Source organism: Homo sapiens, chromosome 10, assembly GCF_000001405.40.
Source record: "Homo sapiens chromosome 10, GRCh38.p14 Primary Assembly".
NCBI lineage: Eukaryota > Metazoa > Chordata > Mammalia > Primates > Hominidae > Homo > Homo sapiens.
The window spans coordinates 16,873,111-16,890,671 of NC_000010.11; the positions used below are offsets into that span (position 1 = coordinate 16,873,111).

The 17,561-nt window shown below is 38.9% G+C and overlaps 1 protein-coding gene across 4 annotated transcripts in view, besides 1 other annotated feature; it reads right to left on the minus strand.

The window, feature by feature from the left end:
* Positions 1 to 17,561, minus strand: part of CUBN (cubilin) — a 305,846-nt gene that overhangs the window by 49,145 nt on the left and 239,140 nt on the right. For all 4 annotated transcript variants that reach the window (NM_001081.4, XM_011519710.3, XM_011519709.3 and 1 more), the window contains 4 exons: positions 17,261 to 17,417; positions 15,307 to 15,456; positions 3,787 to 3,987; positions 1,264 to 1,393 (listed from right to left, as the gene is read on the minus strand). In NM_001081.4, coding sequence (NP_001072.2) covers positions 1,264 to 1,393; positions 3,787 to 3,987; positions 15,307 to 15,456; positions 17,261 to 17,417 — 638 coding nt within the window. The remainder of the gene's footprint in view (positions 1 to 1,263; positions 1,394 to 3,786; positions 3,988 to 15,306; positions 15,457 to 17,260; positions 17,418 to 17,561) is intronic.
* Positions 14,486 to 14,686: a silencer, noted in NCBI's record as "peak882 fragment used in MPRA reporter construct". NCBI's record gives its function as "represses an SCP1 promoter by STARR-seq MPRAs in K562 erythroleukemia cells {active_cell/tissue: K562}" and the evidence as "EXISTENCE:reporter gene assay evidence [ECO:0000049][PMID:32103011]".

Below are 17,561 nucleotides of genomic sequence, written 5' to 3' on the forward strand. Positions count from 1 at the left end.
TAGGTAGGTAGGTAGGTAGGTGTGGTCTTAGCCCATCAGGCTTCTGTATGGAAAGTCCTACATGACCATGAACAATATTACTGTCAGAGTTTCCCACCACATGCCATACGTATATCACTGAAATAGGCTGTCAGGTGAAAACAGTCTTGAACTTTATCATTCTGGAGAGTGGGAGGTTGCATTGCCCTCATCAGTCTTGTTGGGAATAGGTAAGACTGGGAAGAAAATTGACCAGTGACTCAAGCTATCTCTCATAGCATCAGTTTAGAGGTGTTCTGACACAGGTATAAAAATAGATTTCTTAAGTAGTTAGAAAATGTATCCTTTGAGGCTGGGTGCGGTGGCTCATGCCTGTAATCCCAGCACCATGGGAGGCCGAGGCGGGAGGATCACTTGAGGTCAGGAGTTCGAGACCAGCATGACCAACATGGTGAAACCCCGTCGCTACCAGAAATACAAAACTGAGCAGGGCATGGTGGCGCCTGCCTGTAATCCCAGCTACTCAGGAGGCTGAGGTAGGAGAATCTCTTGAACCTGGGAGGCAGAGGTTGCAGTGAGCCGAGATTGTGCCACTACACTCCAGCCTGGGTGACAAAGTGAGACCTTCTCTCAAAAAAAAAAAAAAAAGAAAAGAAAAAAGAAAATGTATACTTTGAGAGACAGTATTGGGAAACATTGAGGATGTGGTGTTTGGAGGAAGCCTGGCATGAATACACATTTTGACTCTTTATGTGTGTGTTACTTTTGGAAAGCAATTTGATCCTTCTGAGCCTCAGTTTCCTCATCAGTGAAATGGGAATAATCTATACAATTCCCAATCTAGAATCTATATATACCTCATATGACTGTTTTAAGAATACAATGAGACAATTACGGCACGTGTGAATCAAAGTTCTTTGTGTATAATAAATACCCAACACATGGCAACTGCTTTCTCTTGCCCTTCCTCTCTCCTTTGATTTCAAGATGGGCTTATTATACCTTGACAATCCATGTTATGATGCTCCTTCACAATTGTTGGGAAACTATAACGACTGTTTTAACTGGTGAGTGCTTGTTTTTTGCCCTTAGTTACTACCGGCTTGTGTGGAGAGGGGGAGCGTCATTTCCCAGGTTGAACTGTCATCTAGGAACATCACTCCTCTGTGTAGATTTCCCTCCAGACTGCCGATGAGAATCAGTGCCCTCCATCAATAAACGAATGGCTCTTCTATAAATAATGCTGAAAGGATTTTCTTAAGAAAGCCAATTTGTCTTACGTACTTGAGCTCGATCACCTTGTCGTCACTAACGGTGATGGTATACAGACAGTGCATATCATTTGGGTAGTCTGCGTATGAATAGGCAGGACTTGTGATGATTCCAGAAGAGAAATTGAACACACCACCACAGGCTGCAACAGAAGACAAGGGAATATGAAGAGAACAACGATTAGTCCCAGCATGGAAAAATGATTTTAAGAGATTCTATACTATTGTACATTTTTCCCTAAAAGAGGTAATAATTATTTTTCTTAAAGTGACTTATATCTCCCTTCATTGTGTTTACACATAATTCTGATTTTTCCACTAGGAAGGAAGATGAAAGACAGCAAGAGGGTAGAAACAGGGAAGAATATTTAAAGGCTCATCTTGGAAAGGAATCAGTCTGAGTCAAATTAATGGCCAGAGTGAAAATGACGAGCAGGAACATTTCACCATCACTTAGCTGTATTTCATTGACAGGTTGAGAGAGGGATGACAACAGTAACGAAGTACGGAAAAGGCGGCCAGAATGATGTTCTGGGCGTACAGATCTAGGAAGGTTGTGATCTGGAAATCTGAAATAATAGAGATCCCTGTCTCTCCTGTCAGGGATAGAATATTATATGGTAAACTACTGGAAATCATTTTTGGAGCTTTCCAGTTTAGTTCCTTCTGTGGGCTCAAATGTATAGCTCTCCAGTCTGGTGGATTTGCAGTCAGTTGTGAGACTGGTAAGGACTAAACTTGCCCCAGTTTGTATTAATATCACTGATCCTCAATCCTCAACAAGCAGGAGGAGGCCAGGCCCGTTCCTCTCCAGGATTCCAGCAATTAACAGCTCAGAGCCTTGAGCTAGATCCATTAGTCAATAAAACGACAGACATAAAAATGTAATAAAGCCTTCTTATCCACAATATAAAGTGATTATTTTTGCTTGGGTTTACATATGAGGATCAGATTGTACCTCCTGATGATCACTCTCCCTGCAGTGGAAAGACCTATCTATGTATATTTATGATTCTAAAATTATAATGGGGTTAACGCATTTTGAAGTATTTCCATGGTTTATACACTATCAGTGGACACGTTCCACTTTACATCCTCAGAAATGAGGAACAAATTGAGGCTGCCATGTCAGGCTCTTTATTTCTTTACTGTTTTTGCCTCAACTGAGCCCACCTTGCAGGGAGCACTCTTCTCTATGTGCCTGTAAGTACTTGTGTGTTCAGACCCCCAGGTCCATCTGTAAAAGTGAATTACATGTCAGATAAGGGTAGCAATCACTCCTTTTCACTTTATACACAATTATGTGGTCTCTGGAAGTTTATCAAGGCCTAAATAACTCCCATCTTTGCACAATATCAGCATTTGAAGTCTTCACATCAACGACACTCTTTAAGTGGGACTCTTATACTAGAATATATTGAATCTTGACTACTTCCTTGTAGGAAAATGAGAGATTAAAGAGAAGAAGAATATAAAGCAGGAGTTTACCTCTCCAAAGCAGCAGTTGTGCCAAAAGAATAAAACAAATCCATCCTTCTCTTTATTCAACAAGACGACGGGAGAGGAAACGTTAATTGCGTGGTTCTATTCTGCTAGAGCCAACAGAGCTACACAGCCATATGTAGTCATACTTTACAAACTGTGGGAGTCAGGATGCCGATAGCAGCTAATGTGAACAAATTATGGAGGGCCTTTTCAGAAGTAAATACATGTTTTTAGTCTTCTCTGGAGATGGGAACAATAATTTATTCCAAGGGAAACTATTTAACTTTCTACCTTTAGCAATGGGTTTGGTGGAGCAAAGATGAAATAGACTCAAGAAAGATGTTACAAGATTTGTGTGCCAGTTTGACTGCAGCTGAGATGTCTATTAGATAGTGCATAAATATTGTCAGCAAACTAACCAGGCAGGAGGGGAAAAGACTATTCAAGATCAGGAAATGCAATCTTAGAATTTTCTGGGTAGCAACAAATGCCTCTGTCCAGTCTATTGCTCCTCTTTTCTCTTTGCCTTTGATGCAGAGAAGTTGTAAATTATAGCATAGTTGAATATATCAATCTTTTCCATTAGGGCTTTTGTTTTGGGCATAGTGTTTTAAAAAAGTCTTTCCTATCAGACTGTAAAGACATTCTCTTATATTTCTTCTAAATATATAAAATATTAATTTTTGTATTAGCAAAATGACTTGGGGAAACAAAACAGGCATCTGGATAATTTGGACCAACAGGCAACTTTGTGTAAGGTAAGAAAAACAAAAAAATAGCAGTAGTATTTATTTAAATTAAATTACAAAACAAATGTCAATTCTTCATTTGATTTTCAGAGTAGTTCTAGCCAAAGTTCCTGAAAAAGGTCCTCTTCTTTTTAAGAAAAAATGTGTATATGTATTTTTTAACCATGAACCTCACTGACAATCTTTTTCCCTTAAATTCTCTGAATCTTCAAGTTAGTGCTGTATGAATCGCAGTGAAAACTCTTTGTATACATTACTCAGAAAAGAAGAAAATTCCAAACTCTGTCATTATGGCTACTCACAGATTATCCTATAGGAAAACTTGAATCCGAAGTCTGTGATTTGCTCGTTGGAGTAGAAGTTAAGCAGAACCGGCCCAGCGATGGTGAGGGGAGCTGGCATCTCATCCCCACACACAGTAGCAAATGGGGTGGACATGACGCTGTAACCTCTGATAATGTGCACGCCATCGTTGACACAGCTTCCCGTCACAGCGGAACGAGCTGGAAAAGGCATGGAACAACCGCATTATGATCAGAACCTACACAAACAATTAAGGCCATAAAAATAAAAACAAAAATGTGATGATGACTCATGCAATTGCTATAAAAATTAAAATGAGAAACGAGATATTTAACTTAGTTTCCTGTTGAAACAATGTTTACTCTAACTACAAAACAAGCACAGGTATGATAAAACAGGTAGGACTTCACAGTAGACACTTTCCACCTTGAAACAATTCAGAATTTCCTTTCTTTAGATAACGGTTCCTTTAACTCAGTGACTGTAAACTGGGGACCGTGTTGCCTCCCCAAGAACACCTGGCACTATCTGAAGGCATTTTTGCTGTCACACTGTAGAGTGGAGTAGAGACCAGGGTTGCTCCTGAAGATGCTGCTATACACAGGGCAGCACCTACACCCCGGACCCTCTGGGACCCACAAAAAACTACCTAGCCCAACATGTCAATAGCGCTGCTACTGAGAAAACTTGCTCCAAGCTTATGTCCAGATAAGGGACTCCTATCATGGAGATATCATTAGAAACTCCTTAATGTTTATTGAACAACCATTTTAGATGTTCACACAAACACTATTAGTGTTTAAGGACTATAAAATATATATTATTGTTTTGTTTGCCAATTATAATGTGAATATATGCTCCAGCCTACCATCCCCCAAAGAAAAATATAAAACAAAATAAACAAGAAATTAAAAAGATATGTGTCCACTACAACATATCCAGTGATTTTTGTAGGTGAACACATACTGTTAAAATATTAACTTGGATCATACCTAATTTGTATTAATAGGAAATGACACCCATATGGTAACCTAATTTGTATCAATATGAAATTACATCCATCATGCATTTGTATGTGATTAAATATTCTTCTAAAACATTATATTAGGGCCAGACATGGTGGCTCACGCCTATAATCCCAGCACTTTGGGAGGCCTAGGCGGGCGGATCACCTGAGTTCAGGAATTCGAGGCCAGCCTGGGCAACACGGCAAAACCCTGTCTCTACTAAAAATACAAAAATTAGTCAGGTGTGGTGGTGCGCGCCTGTAGTCCCAGCTACTCAGGAGGCTGAGGCAAGAGAATCGCTTGAACCTGGAAGGCAGAAGTTACAGTGAGCTGAGATCGCGCCACTTCACTCCAGCCTGGGTGATAGCACAAGACTCCATCTCAAATAAAATAAAACATTATATTATTATGAAAGGAAAGGAAAAAAACCAGCCTAACTTTTGCACCAACATAATATATTAATGCCTATATCAAATTCCAACATATAGATGTGCCATCCACATTCCATCAATCCCCTATTGCTTGAAATTCTATATTCTCCACATTTCTGTAAATAAAAATATTGTTGAAACAAACATTCCTGTACATAAATATTTGAGGAAGTTTTTCATCATTTCATCAGAATAAGTTTTCAGAAGTTAGATACTGGCACTAAGGTAAGACTATTTTTCAGGTTACCAAATGATCCCTAGATTGGTGTTGCCGACTTACTCTCCCACAACATTTTTGGCATCTGACATTCTTCCCAATTCTACATTTTCATTGCCCATAGGAAAATGTTATGCCCATTAACAATCACTCCAGTCTCATCCTTCCTGTATATGGTCTCCTGCCCTACATAATTACTAAACTACTTTCCGCCTCTATGGATTTGTCTACTCCGGACATTTCACATGAATAAAATCATGCAATATGTGACCTTTTGTGGCTGGCTTCTTTCACTTAATATAATGTTTTTGAGTCCATCCATGTAGTAGCATGTGTCAGTATGTCATTCCTCTTTATGGCTGAATATTTTCCTTTTTATAGTGATAGCACATGTTGTTTATCTATTCATCAGTTGACAGACATTTGGTTTGTTTCCACCTTTTGGCTATTATGGATAATGCTGCTATGAACATTCATGCATGAGATTTTGTGTGGGCACATGCTTTCAGTTCCTTTGGGTATATAAATGGGAGTGAAATTATTAGCCCCCAAATTAGGTATGTATTTAATTTTACAAGAAACTGCCAAACTATATCTCATAGTAGTTACATCAGTATACATTCTCACCAGGGATGTGTGGGACTTCCAGTGCTCTGCAGGGATGCCAACATTTGACATTGTCAGTCTTTTTAATTTTAGCCATTCTGGTGCATGCGAAACGAAACTTCATTGTGATATTTAATTTTAATTGCTCTGATGATTAACAATGTGAAATATTTTCCCATTTTCATTTACAAGCCACAAGAACAAAATGCTTTTATTTCATGGCGATGCTAACTTGAACATATATCTAATGATCCACATCACCCCAACACACAAAATTTACTTACTTACAAATGCCCCATTGGGAATGACCCAAACTACATTATTTTATATAAGCACATGCTATGGCACGGTGGACTCTGAAATCAGACATCCTGTTTGCTGTTTGCTGTTAGAATACTCTTCCTACAAGAGCACGCTGACAAAATCGTTATGCACACTTACTTTATAATTCCAAGTCCCCTGGCCATAGACCTTGGTTCAAAGGTGGGTGTGTGACCCAATCCAGTCCAATAAAGGTGAATTTCAACACCCTTGTTTGATATTTGGAAGTTGGAATAGAGGTAGTAGTATGCTGGTAAATATAACAACCAACTCTCCGAGAGATTTGTGGCATTTGCCAATTTCCATCGTATAAATACTCCCACGATAGCCAATTTCAAGCTATTAACAACAAGTCATTAAATGCAGAATAGGAATAGATGAGCAAAATTGACTCTTGCAAGATGGTGCAACCCAACTCTAGCTTACCACAGGATAGAAGCCATCTCTCTTTCTGATGTGGGTGAGGAGTACCCACTGTGAGAGCAGCACCCCTACAGCAATGAGAGGAGCCAGCCTTAGGATGAGGCTCACACTGGAGTAGCACAAAGTAAAAACAGAAACAGTTGAATATTTGATGACATAATTAAAATGCTGAATTGAGAGATTTGAGGCACACCCAACTTTGAAACCTTCCAGAATTAAAAACCAATGAATTGCTCCTTTGTGTTTAAACCAGGTTGAATCAAGTTTCCTGTTAATTGTGCCATAAAACCTCCTAATGGATATGGTAGATATTTTCATGATTAGAGTCACTGTTGCTATTGTTTATACAACCCCACCATCCTGACCATGGTTGATTGATTGACTGATTGATAATTCCAGTCAATCAATGGCAAGGCATGGCATCAGACCCAATCCAGGCCAATCAGATGTGTCCAAACTGCAACTGAGTAAGAGTCAATGGTAGGAGCCAAAGATACTAAACTTAAAAAATGTCTGCAGCCATGTTTCCTGACACATTAAGGAAGCCAGGCTGCCGTAAGGGAAAAAGAAGTTGTGCAGCAATCAGCAAAAAGAGCGGGGAAGAGAGAGCATGCTGACAGATTCTTGTCCCTGGTTTCCTTTGTTCTAGAAGCCCTTCCTTTGATGAGATGAAATCACCCAGTATCCTTCTTATAAACCCTACTTTGTATCTAAGCTAACTTTTGAAGATAACTTGCCATTCAAAGAATCTTGACAAATACTTTTAAAAAGCATCTCTGTGCATTAAAGAGTTACCACACATTCTTAAATCATTTTAAGAATACATTCAGCTCCTTCGCTAAGTTTCTATTCAGCCTGCAGAAATCTTGAGGTATCAATTCAAGATATACATTTTTAAATTAACCTCAAAGAATTCCCTTATTTTGAAAATGCTGGAATAGAAATATTTCTAATTGGGCATAAATCTATAAGTTGAAAGAGTGAAAGACTGAACTTCAATGGCCTTTTCATGTAATTAGAAGCAATATGATGTGGAAAAAGAGGACAAAAAAGAAATAAGTTAAACTCAGATTCATGGTTTGAATATTGCCAAATTATGTACCTTAGTTATAACCTCAGTATTTGTCTTTAAGACATCAAAAGCTCCACTGGAATTTTAAAAAATTCAAAGTAGATGAGTTTGAGAATAAAAAAATTGTGCATTAGTTATAGAAATTATTTAGCAACAATATATCAAGTTATAAAACCAAAATCACAGAATGTAGGGAAAAATTGCTGATGCTGGATTGAAATCTTGGTCCCACATTTGATCAAATAGGCTGCTATGCATGTGTTAGGTATTAAAGAGTTAGTTGTTAAGTTGTGGGCTAATGATATAAATGATCACAGTGGCAGTTGTCTTAGAAAACAGTGAAAAGGCTGTGAAACATAAGGTATAGTGTCACTTATACTTGATTATGTTGACAAATAGTTGATTAAAGGAACTAGTTGAAATACAGAAAGTTCATTCATGAAATGGCAGTGGTACGAGACATAATCAAAACTCATCAACAATTTATTAAATGTCTGTATTGAACAATAAGGAAGTTTGTTGGGGAAATGCAGAGGAAGTTGACAAGGGATTTTAGATTTTTTGTAGATGGCAATAGAATATCAACTAACTAAACAAATTATGTAAGACAGTCTGCTTCTCAAAGCCTAATTCAGTAAAATGTAGAAATTATAATATCTGGCAACTTATTTCATGGATTAAAACATTCTTGTATCCTTTCTAGTAGTCGTTTGTTTAAGGTAGGATGTTATGCCCTTTCAAATTCTCTCCAAAAGAAATCAAACATGTACATAATATTAGAAGCTGGTAAAATTAGCTAAAGTCTAAGAAAATATAAAAAATTAACATCAACAAAGTAATATGCAAGAAAATGGATATGTGTGTCACTAGACATTAAGTACTTTACACACATATATCATATTCTAAAGTTCTATATATCCCATCACTGCATTAGATCAAAAATATCAGCCTGATTCTTCAGTGAGAAGGTGTTGGTGACAGACTAAAGGCATCAGAAAATAATTATATTAAACACTTTCTCATCATTATTGGAAGAGCCAATTGTATGTATAATCAAAATATACACAACACTCTCATAATTGGGGTGACTGTCTTCTAGGGAGAGAAGGAAACTTAGTTGAGGTTTGGAAAAACTTCTTCAAGAAGCAAGATGGATATCACAGTTGAGTTTATGACCAAGAGGCAGCATTCGATCAGACATATGCGAACTTGTGAGGAAGAGAAGCACCCTGAAATTGAACAATACTTTCTCCGTGGACTAGAGTCCACGTCATGGGACCGGGAACTCAGTAATTCTTAACTCTGTCTTCAACAAGTGATTTGATAGACATTTACTACTGAAATCTCTGAGCTGCAAAACGATTCCCTATCATTTGTTTTTATGACTATTTTCCATCCTTCCTAAAAACTTTAAAACATATTCATCGTTTGCAATGGGCAAGGCTCTATACCATGCAGTAAAATTTAATTTTTTGTTCTATTTTTCCGGGATTTATTACTGGGCAATGTCTAATTCCAAACTTCATCATAGTTCTAAGAACTATGAGAGAACTGAAGGAAAACTAAGGATGAGTAATTCCACAAATAGAATAAACTTGTGGGATTTAGAGTTGGACCACAGTTTTTCTCCAAAGTGGGGGGAGGGCGTGGGCCGAGACACCAAAGAGGACTAGAGATGAGGGAAAACCCTTTGTTTGGGATATTTCCATGTTGTAGATAAGATCAAGTATTTTCAGGAAATAGAAATGGGTTCTAGGGGCCAGGCACAGTGGCTCACACCTGTAATCCCAACACTTTGGGAGGCCGAGGCAGGCAGATCACTTGAGGTCAGGAGTTTGAGACCAGCCCGGCCAACAAGGTGAAACCCCACCTCTACTAAAAATACAATTATTAGCTGGGCATGGTGTCTGGTGCCTGTAATCCCAGCTACTCGGGAGGCTGAGCCATGAGAATTGCTTGAACCTGGGAAGCGGAGGTTGCAGTGAGCTGAGATCGCACCACTGTAGTCCAGCCTGGGCAACAGAGCAAGACTCTGTGAAGAAAAGAAAAGAAAAGAAAGGAAGGAAGGAAAAAGAAGGAAGGAAGGAAAGGAAAGGAAAGGAAGAAAGAAAGAAAAAGAAAGGAAGGAAGGAAGAAAGAAATGGGTTCTAGGCAGAGGCACATGAATTACCAGGCAGCAGTGACTGAGACCTATCATCTGTCTTGTTAACTTTACCCTGAGTAGCTGGGAGACTGGTCTCCTCTACGGAGGCATGATTCAGAGGAGGGGGAAGCATGTACTAGTATACAGCTAAGTTCCATTGCGCACGAAGGCCAAACAAATTAAAGCAAATTGGAGTGTAACACAGGCAAACAAGGGATTTCACAGAAACTACACCATCTGCTCCAGTGCTCTGCCAGTTGAATAAAATATCAATAGGAAACATTTCAAAAGGACCACTGCCCACTTTTTTCTAAAGTAATGTGGAATGCGACCACATTCTGAGTTCTTTAGAAACAACTGAGAAAGCAAAGAGAAGAAACAGCAGTTGAGCAATACCAGTTTTTAAAAAATTTAAATAGGAGGAAATAAAGAAAACTGACAAAGCTCATTTATTGTGCTTCTTGATGGGGAAAAAAATGTCAAAAAGAAAAATCTAAAACTAATTTTTTTTTACTTTTTTTCTTTAAGCTTTCTATTAGATATAACCCATAAACTGGGACTTCAGTTAATCCAAGAGAATTTAGGCAAATATTAGGTGTGAATCTGGGCCCACTCCTGTTGGGGCTTTGAAGCCATCTCTAGAGGACAACAAGCAAAGGCATTTGTCCCTTTGGTGTTTCCACCTCACGAGCTAAGCGCTGCTGCACCCTCCAATGCTTGTCAAGAATTACTGGATCTGAGAAACACTGAGTTTACAGTTTACGGCGTGTAGAATTTTTAAATTGAGAATTTCTAAATTCCTCATTATCACCAAGGTGAATTAATGTTACTACCCAATTTTTTTCATTTTTTAAATTTTATTTATGTATTTATTTATTTTGAGACAGAGTCTTGCTCTGTTGTCCAGGCTGGAGGGCAGTAGCGCAATCTTGGCTCACTGCAAGCTCCGCCTCCCGGGTTCACGCCATTCTCCTGCTTCAGCTTCCCGAGTAGCTGGGACTACAGGGGCCCGCCACCACGCCCGGCTAATTTTTTGCATTTTGTTTAGTAGAGACAAGGTTTCACCGTGTTAGCCAGGATGTTCTCGACCCCCTGACCTCATGATCCGCCCACCTCGGCCTCCCAAAGTGGGGGAATTACAGGCGTGAGCCACCATGCCCGGCCTACTATCTAATTTTAATGAAAGAATAATCAAGGTTTAGAAGGCACTGGCTTGCTTCATTTTGCCTCAAGAAGTGCTTTATCTATGAAGTAAGAAAACTGGATCTATAATTTTTTTTTTTTTTAGCAGATTGAGGGCTTCTAGTTGGCCACATGAATAATGAGAACACAAAATTTTGGACTGTTTAATATTTGGGAAAATAAAATAAGCAGTTATTTAATAATACCAGATTCCAAAATGAGGACAAACATCAATGGTCTGTAGTTCATGGAATGTCTAGTACTGGAAATGTAAAAGTAATGAGAAAGTTAGAGAAATTTAGACCAACATTAAACTTGGAGCAACTTACTTTGTGGTAAGCGGAAAGTAGGTCACTGAGCCTTTGTAACCTAAGAGTTGAGTGTGGTTCAACAATCTGTATTTTTCCCTTCATGGTAAAACCCTCCCTAAGCAGGTGTCAATGTTTAGTAGACGCCATATAGGGACAAGTGTGTTTCCTCACAGTATTTTGTAGCCTGGGATACCACATCTTTTCCTTGCCAATCCCACCTTTTGTGCTAATGGTCCACCAAGATGACAGATCTAGAACCTTCATCACCACCTAAGTCAACACTGGCTCTGCTGGGATCCTGGGCTCAGAAATGCTTAGCCATTTGAACAGAGTCTCTCAGAAACAGTTCCAAGTGCCTATAGCAGCTAGAAAGGCCAAGGCTCCCTCAATAAAGCTATGACCTTCCTTCAGAGCAATCCTCGGTTTCATCCCAATATATTGCACATGAATCCCTCAGGCTCACTTTAGAAGGGCTGGGGAAAGGTTACTTTTACTGTAGCTAGCGAATCTGTAGCTCGGTGATGGTATTCAATAAATGTCAGCATTGATATGGTTAAGGATAAGAAGCTAATTATAAAATAAATTTGATTAAAGTCACCCTTTTGGGGAATCATCATAATTAGATGAATCTATAGCCAGAAATTACTCAGGCAGCAGTTTGAAAATGCTGAACACTTAAACACTGGAAATGTCACAAGGCATTGTTGTAAGGATACCATCTTAGAAAAGAATCAGTCTTCAACTGAGTGAGGATTGGCAAATCCATTAGCGGAAGCAGAAATCAATCTAACATTATCTGACTTTCAGAACTACTATTATACATATATAATAAATATATATTAGACACACACATACACACATATATAGCAAAGTGCTATATATATATAAGTATCAGAAATAAAGGTGAAGTAATTTGCACAAAGTCACTTGAATAGCAGTAAGTGGCTGACCTGGCATTAAGATCCATCCTAAATGCTGTGCTCACTTTCCCTGTACTATACTGAGATATTCCAGGGCTGCTCCCCTTTTTCTCACCTGATAACTGAGCTCAGGGAGCTGTCTCAGGTCATGATAGAGTCTCTTATAATAATACATATACCACTGGTATCAGCATTGCTTTCTGTGGCTTTATAGTACAATTACTAGAGTCTCCTTTCTTAGTCTGAGTGATACGGTCTTGTGAGATGCACTGTTTATTTAACTTAATGACCACAAACACAAAATCCAAGCCACATGTTGTTCCCCTGCTATTAAAATAATTGTCCTAATTATAAAAATAACATAAAAGCTATAAAGAAGAAAATAAGCATCTCGAATAAATCTATCACACAGTGGTGACAACTCTTAATGTACTGGTTAATAGCCTTATAGATTTTATTCACACACATTATTTTAGAAAGAAAATTGGATCATCTTATACAAACTATTTTACCCTCCCTCAAGCCTTCATATATCATGGGCATCTTTTTATGGTACTGGGATTTTGGGCTAGCAAATGCTGAAAAGATGACACTTTACTTTATATTCCATTTTTACAGTGACATACATTGATTTACACTTGGCATTTTTTTAAGCAAACACATGTGCTGAAAATTACAACTGCAGAGATGTATGAAAAGGCAGTGAGGTCATAGGAAAAAGGATTAAGTGAGACAAGCTTTGTTAAATTTATCCATTTATGAGTTCTGACATGTCATTTTTATAAACCATACATTTCCCAGATGTTGAATGCTATAGAACATTTTGCAAAGTGTAACTTTTCACTGCCATGAGAGACTAACCCAAGAGTAAGAAATTTCGAATATACCGAGGTAGCTTGACAAATCTGCAGATAAATTGTGGTTTAGAAATAGAAAGCTGATATGTAACAAGAAAATTAATATGGTTATGAGTGGTTGAAAATACCCATCTATTTGAAGGAATTTCCTTTCCACTGTGTGAAAGCCTCCATTAAACACCAAGTGGTGTCTATTGTCAGTCAAAGCCCAGCCCAAATCGGCATCTCTACTGTTCCCTCTGCCAACGGCCCATTCCCTAGAGTGGGAGAATGAACACAGAGGGCACTTGTGGCCAGGAACTCAGGCACTGAAGAGTCAGGACTGAGAAGATGAAGATGACCGAGATGGAGCAGAAGAAAGAACGCCCAATGGTAGTATTTACTAAAAGCAGGGCACATATATTAATTTTTTCTTTTTGAGACAGAGTTTCGCTCTTGTCGCCCAGGCTGGAGTGCAATGGCATGATCTAGGCTCACCGCAACTTCCGCCTCCTGGGTTCAAGCGATTCTCCTGCCTCAGCCTCCCGAGTAGCTGGGATTACAGGCATGTGCCACCACACCTGGCTAATTTTGTATTTTTAACAGGGACAGGGTTTCTCCATGTTGGTCAGGCTGGTCTCGAACTCCCGACCTCAGGTGATCTGCCCACCTTGGCCTCCCAAAGTGCTGGGATTATAGGCGTGAGCCACCGTGCCCAGCCTATATTAATTTTATTAATTTACTTACTTATTCAATATTTGTCGAACACCTATGTTGACTCAATAAGACAGTTTCTCTCACTGGTTTGGTTAATAGTGTGTGCATGAATGTGGGTGTGTGTGTGCACACGTATGTCTATAAACTTTAAATGCAAGTGAATAAATTAAAAGCTATGTTAACATGAAACATTTCAGACTTATTTTCTTTAAGCAATTTATGCAATACTTGTGTTGTTAAAGTTCTGTCACTATTTTTTTACTTCTAGATGGAATACATAGAATAATACTTGTATTCTTTAAAAATTGGATGAAATTTTAATCACGTTTACATTAAATCTACTCTGTAACATATTTTCAATATTTTCTTTAAATGGTGAGTTTTAGACTTCTGCCTCTACTTACTCCTCATTCATTTCTGAAGAACCAATTAGAGTTTACTTAAGAATGAACTTATCTTCCAAGGCTATTATCAAAAGACAAGAGATAAGTTTTGGCAAGGATGTGGAGAAAAGGGAACTCTTCCTCGTACACTTTTGATGGGAATGTAAATTAGTGCAGCCATTATGGAAAAATGCATGGCAGTTTCCCAAAACATTAAAAATAGAACTACCATATGATCCACCAAGTTCATTTCTGGGCATAGATCCAAAGGAAATCAAATCAGCGTGTCCAAGAGATTATCTATACTGTCGTGTTCATTGCAGCATGATTCATAATGGCCAAGACATGGAATGGACCTGAGTGTCCACCAGTGAATGAATGGATAAAGAAAATGTGGTAGATATACACAATGGAATACTCTTTGGCCTTAAAAAAGAATAAAATCTTGTCATTTGTGACAACATGGATGAACCTGGAGGACATTATGCTAAGTGAAATAAGCTACACACAGAAAGGCAAACATTGCATGATCTCACTTGGATGTGGAATCTAAAAATGTCGAACTCATAGAAGCAGAGAGTAGAATGGTGGTTACCAGAGGCTGGTAGGGTATGTGGGAGTGGAGATTTAGGATATATTGGTCACAGGATACAAAATTTCAGCTAGGAGGAATAAGTTCAGGAGATCTACTGTACAACATGGTGCCAATAGCGAATAACAAGGTTGAATACCTGAAATACTTGATTACTTGCCGAATACTTAAAAATTGCTAAGAGAGGTTTTAAATGCTCTCCCCACAAAAAGTGCTAAGTAAGTGAGTGAGCAGACATGTTAATTAACTGGATTTAGCCACTCTACAACATGTACATATGTCAAAACATGTTGTACACCATAAATATACAATTTTTGTTTGTCAATTAAACGTAATTTTTTTAAAAGAATAAACTTACCTTCTAAGTGGAAGGACACAAAAGTCAAGAGGACCACTGACAGAGGATTAGCCTCTATGACATAGGTGCAATTCATGTTGTTGTCATATTGTTTTGGGTAATTTGGAGAAATGATGTAACCTGAAGGGCCAGTGAAATTACTTCCACATCCTATGTGGGAACAAAAAGTCATCATCAGATCATTTATTTCTCGTGTATCTATTTTGTCCATGAAGGAAAGAGGCATTTTCCTAAATTATCTATAGACATAGTTCCCTGAGATATTCCAAATGGAAGAAGCAAGAATGAAGAGAATAAAGCTCTGATTTAAAAACATACATATGTGCTTAATAAGAATATTATACATTTTTAGAAAATGCTGCAGAGTTTTATGGACTGAGTCCTCGTAATATTACCACAAATCTACTGCAAATCCCTTAATATTAAGATATTAAGAAAGGATAAACGAGCAATGATAGAATATGGTTCATGCAGATAAAGAAATAAAACAGATAAAAAATGATTTGTATCTGATTAGTACTTTACACAATTAATGTTTTTAAAATGTCTTATTATTAGAAAACTGCTATTTTCATTACCATTGTAATCTAGCCACAACAATGGTTGCTTTTTAAAACTAGCTGGATTTATTAATCCCAACTCTTATCAAATTCTTACATGCATCCCTGGTTTTCGAAACAGAAAGAAATATCTTTTCACCACTAAAATGATTTGTTTTCATATAACCATTGACTAGTTAATCCACTTCACTCTCTGATCTATCAAGCACGAAAATATCTCTATCCTTTTAAATTGACATTAAAACACACACAAGTACACACGTGCACACTTACACAGTGAACCACCTGCAGACCTAAGATTTGGTCTAGGGTTGTCTTTCAGTACTTCCTTTCCAGCACTCTCTGATTCAGTCTGAAAAACCTGTCTACTGTATTACTTCCTCTAATTCCTTTCCTCAAACTTTTCCCTAAACAGTGGTTTGCCATGAGTGGCTACACTTGATTTAACTCAGCCAACAGGCACACACCATTGCTTCTCTGACTTGAAAAATGCTACATTTCCCACGAATCTAATAGTGTACAATAGCTAGAAAAGGAGATCCATCCTTCCTAATCAAAATTAGGAAAGAACATTCCCAAAGAAACTGGCTCCCAAAGTTGACTTAGCATGAGAACCCTCTGGATGACAGTTAAAACATGCAAGACCGGCCGGGCACGGTGGCTTATGCCAGCACTTTGGGAGGCCGAGGCGGGCGGTTCACGAGGTCAAGAGATCAAGATCATCCTGGCCAACATGGTGAAACCCCGTCTCTACTAAAAATACAAAAAAAAAAAAATTAGCTGGGCATGGTGGCACACACCTGTAGTCCCAGCTACTCGGCAGGCTAAGGCAGGAGAATAGCTTGAACCCAGGAGGTGGAGGTTGCAGGAGAATGGCGTGAACCCAGGACGTGGAGGGTGCAGTGAGCCGAGATTGCACCACTGCACTCCAGCCTGGCGACAGAGTGAGACGCCGTGTCAAAAAAAAAAAAAAAAAACAGGAAAGACTTCGTCATGGAAATTCTGAATTCAGTTGGGCCTGGAGTGAGGCTCAGGAATCTGCATGTGTTTCAAGCCCCCCACGGGATTTTGTGGTCAAGGTGCCACAGGCCAGCCACACTGGTTGTTGCTAACGAACTAGCCATCTGCGCTTCTGCCCAATATCAGCCCACTCTGGATGCCAGGCTTATTTCTAGACGTTGGTTAGTGCCCCTCATGGCTTTTATATCACTTCTCAATTCAGTTCTGTTCTCACTGCTATTTGGAAGAAAGGTGTCTTCTTGGGATTAGGTGACTCATCCTCCCCGTAGACCCCCATACTCCTCCCCTAGACCCCCAGGTTTAGCCAACCCTGCCTGCCTGTGACAACCACACTCCCGCAAAGACCTCTGGGTTTGGTTCTTAGGGCTACTTACGGCTAACAAAGGACGCGGAGAAGCCCTGAGCTGGTGCCTCCTGAGACTGGAAGACGGCAGTGAATGTGTTACTTGGTGTGATAACGGGACCCGGAGCCACGTTCCCACAGCCAGTGGCTAGCAGGGCTTTGTCCACCTCCTCAGTTCCTGCCCACACCTAGCACGGACATACACAGAACTTTAATGCTCAAGGGTTTCCCATCAATATTTTAATGCACTTAGGTTTCAAAATAATGGCACTCACACGTATACAGAACTAAGCATAAGAGTAAACAAAACATGGACAAATCTGTAGTATTTT